This window comes from Homo sapiens, chromosome 2 (assembly GCF_000001405.40).
Source record: "Homo sapiens chromosome 2, GRCh38.p14 Primary Assembly".
Classification (NCBI taxonomy): Eukaryota; Metazoa; Chordata; class Mammalia; order Primates; family Hominidae; genus Homo; species Homo sapiens.
The window spans coordinates 2646192-2648612 of NC_000002.12; the positions used below are offsets into that span (position 1 = coordinate 2646192).

At 46.3% G+C, this 2421-nt stretch overlaps 1 annotated feature.

Moving 5' to 3' along the window:
- Positions 1025-1639: an enhancer, noted in NCBI's record as "H3K4me1 hESC enhancer chr2:2650988-2651602 (GRCh37/hg19 assembly coordinates)". NCBI's record gives its function as "activates a minimal SCP1, AML or CMV promoter by ChIP-STARR-seq in naive H9 embryonic stem cells {active_cell/tissue: H9 hESC(naive)}" and the evidence as "EXISTENCE:reporter gene assay evidence [ECO:0000049][PMID:30033119]".

Here is a 2421-nt window from a genome sequence, read left to right on the forward strand (position 1 = left end):
CAAGCCTCACACAGAACCTCGCATGGCATAGATGGTGCTCAAGAAACTGATGAATGGATAATCCCTGGGTTAATGTGGAATGCAAGTTTTCTGTAAGTTTAGTTTATTTAATTCAACTTTAAGTTGGATAATTATTGTTTACTTTGGGAAAAAATTGTTGAATTTCAGTTGTTGAAGTCTGTGAATGACCCTTGAGTTTAAAAGTTAGGGAAGGATGAGCCTGAAGAGCTTTAATTAATGCACTGAAGAAGGGTGTGACAGAAGGCTTTGCACTCGTCACACCTACGCATCTTGTCTCCAGGAGGTAACAGGGAGGGTGCGGGGGAGGCTGCTGAGTGGTTTTGAAATTATACAGAGCTGGATTTGAACCCCTTTCAGCGACATGCTTTCTGTGGGACTTCTCTAGGACTCATTTTTCTTTTCCATAAAACAATGTTAAAAAGTCCTATTTCTAGTGTTGTTAATAAAAAACAACATTTATTAATCATTGACTATGTGTCACAAACTGTGTTATGCATGTATAGACATGGTCTTATTTCATCAAGCTACTGTGGCTGGTGAGTGGCAGAACAGAAACTGAAGTCTGGGTATCTCTGACTGCAGAGCCCACGTGTTTACCCCATTTCTGGCACCTCCTCCAGAGCACAATGTGAGTTCAGATTAAAGGAGATCACTGCGGTGAAATGGAAAGCAAAGCCCTTTGATCTGGCAGCTCTCAGATTGCTAGTGCCTCCCTCCCAGCCCTCCTTCCTCTCCCTGCACCTTTCAGCACCTGCAGGTGGGATCCTGACCCTTCCATCTGGGCCGTCCCCCAACTCCTCATGTCTTAGCTGTCCCACTCCGAGTAGCCCCAAGAGGAGATGCCACTCAGAAAACTCTTTGGGGACTTAAAAAATTGAGGTACAATTCATACACAATTCTGGAGATTTTAAAATCTAGACAGAGAAACTGTTCTCTTGCTGGTCACGAAGATATCAGTTTCAGAGCAGGAAGTGGCCAGAGGCCAGAGGCCCCAGCCTCTTGGAGGAGCTGATTTGAGAGAAGAAACCTGAACCCTGAGAAGACCAATGAGAAGGAAGCTCTGAGGACACCTGCCCTGGGCTCCGCACCCATGGTGTGCGCCGCTCCCACAAGCTGGTCATGTGGGCCAAGTGTTCCTCTCAGAGGGTGCACAGCTTAAGCTGGCTTTTGCCTCATGCAAGCGTTCGCTCATCCTCAGAGGTACATATTATTATGTTTTACTGACAGAAATCCTGACAACTGTAATCCATGCGGTGACTCATGTGCACCTGCAGGAAATGAGCCATCCCCTCGGCTTGGAATTCTCTCCCCTCCACCCTCGTAGCTTTCACTCCTTTTCTTCTTAAGATCTCATCTTAACGAAGTCTTCCCCGACAAGCTTTTCTGAGGGATGCCCTCCCTCCTGCCCATTCCGTCCACATTACTGCATGATGTTCATTGCCACCAGATCACTTATTTCAAGCTATAATAGCATACTTATTTGTTTATATGATTATTTTCTGTATACCCACATTATTTGGGAGAATTTCAGCTGTGTGAGTAATAGGACACTGAAAATAACTGGGTCTTAAATAAGACAGAGGTTTATTTTTACCTCACATAAAATAAGTTCAGAGATAAGCAGTCTGGGGCTGGTGTGACAGCTCCACAAACATCAGAGACTCTGGTTCCCTCAAGTCCACTCCTCAGCCATCCCCACATGACATGACCCATGCTCCAAGAAGGCTGCTTGAGCTCCTGCCCTCGCATTCCTATTCCAGCCAGTGGGAAGTGGGAAGGGACTGAAACAGAGATGCCTTCTCCCTTATATAGGCACCTTCTGGAATTTTAACCCCACTCTTCTGCTCCTGCCTTTTGGATCAGAGCCCATTCTCATTCTCTTGTCTACAGAGGAAATGGGGGAATATAATCTCATATTTGATGGCCACGTGTCTCACTAAGAATTTGAAATTTTACAATTAAGAAGGGATAAAAGAATATTGGGGGCGGGGGGAATCTCTGTCCTTCTCCACTCACAGGCAGTGACACACAGGAAGGAAGGTGCCACGTGTTTGTGGCTGACCAACAGGTACCCAGCACTGTGCAGAGTCAGCACCCAGGGCACAGTTGTGAAAAAAATGAATGTATGGAACAAATGAACTCCTGCCCTTATCTAGACTGTTCAGAGAATCGGATGACAGCTAGAGTGTTTGAAAAACTGCTCTTTCCGGCTGGGCGCGGTGGCTCACGTCTGTAACCCCAGCACTATGGGAGACCAAGGCAGGTGGATCACTTGAGGTCAGGAGTTCGAGACCAGCCTGGTCAACATGGTGAAACCCCATCTCTACTAAAAATACAAAAATTAGCAAGGTGTGGTGGCACATGCCTGTAATCCCAGCTACTCAAGAAGCTGAAGCAGGA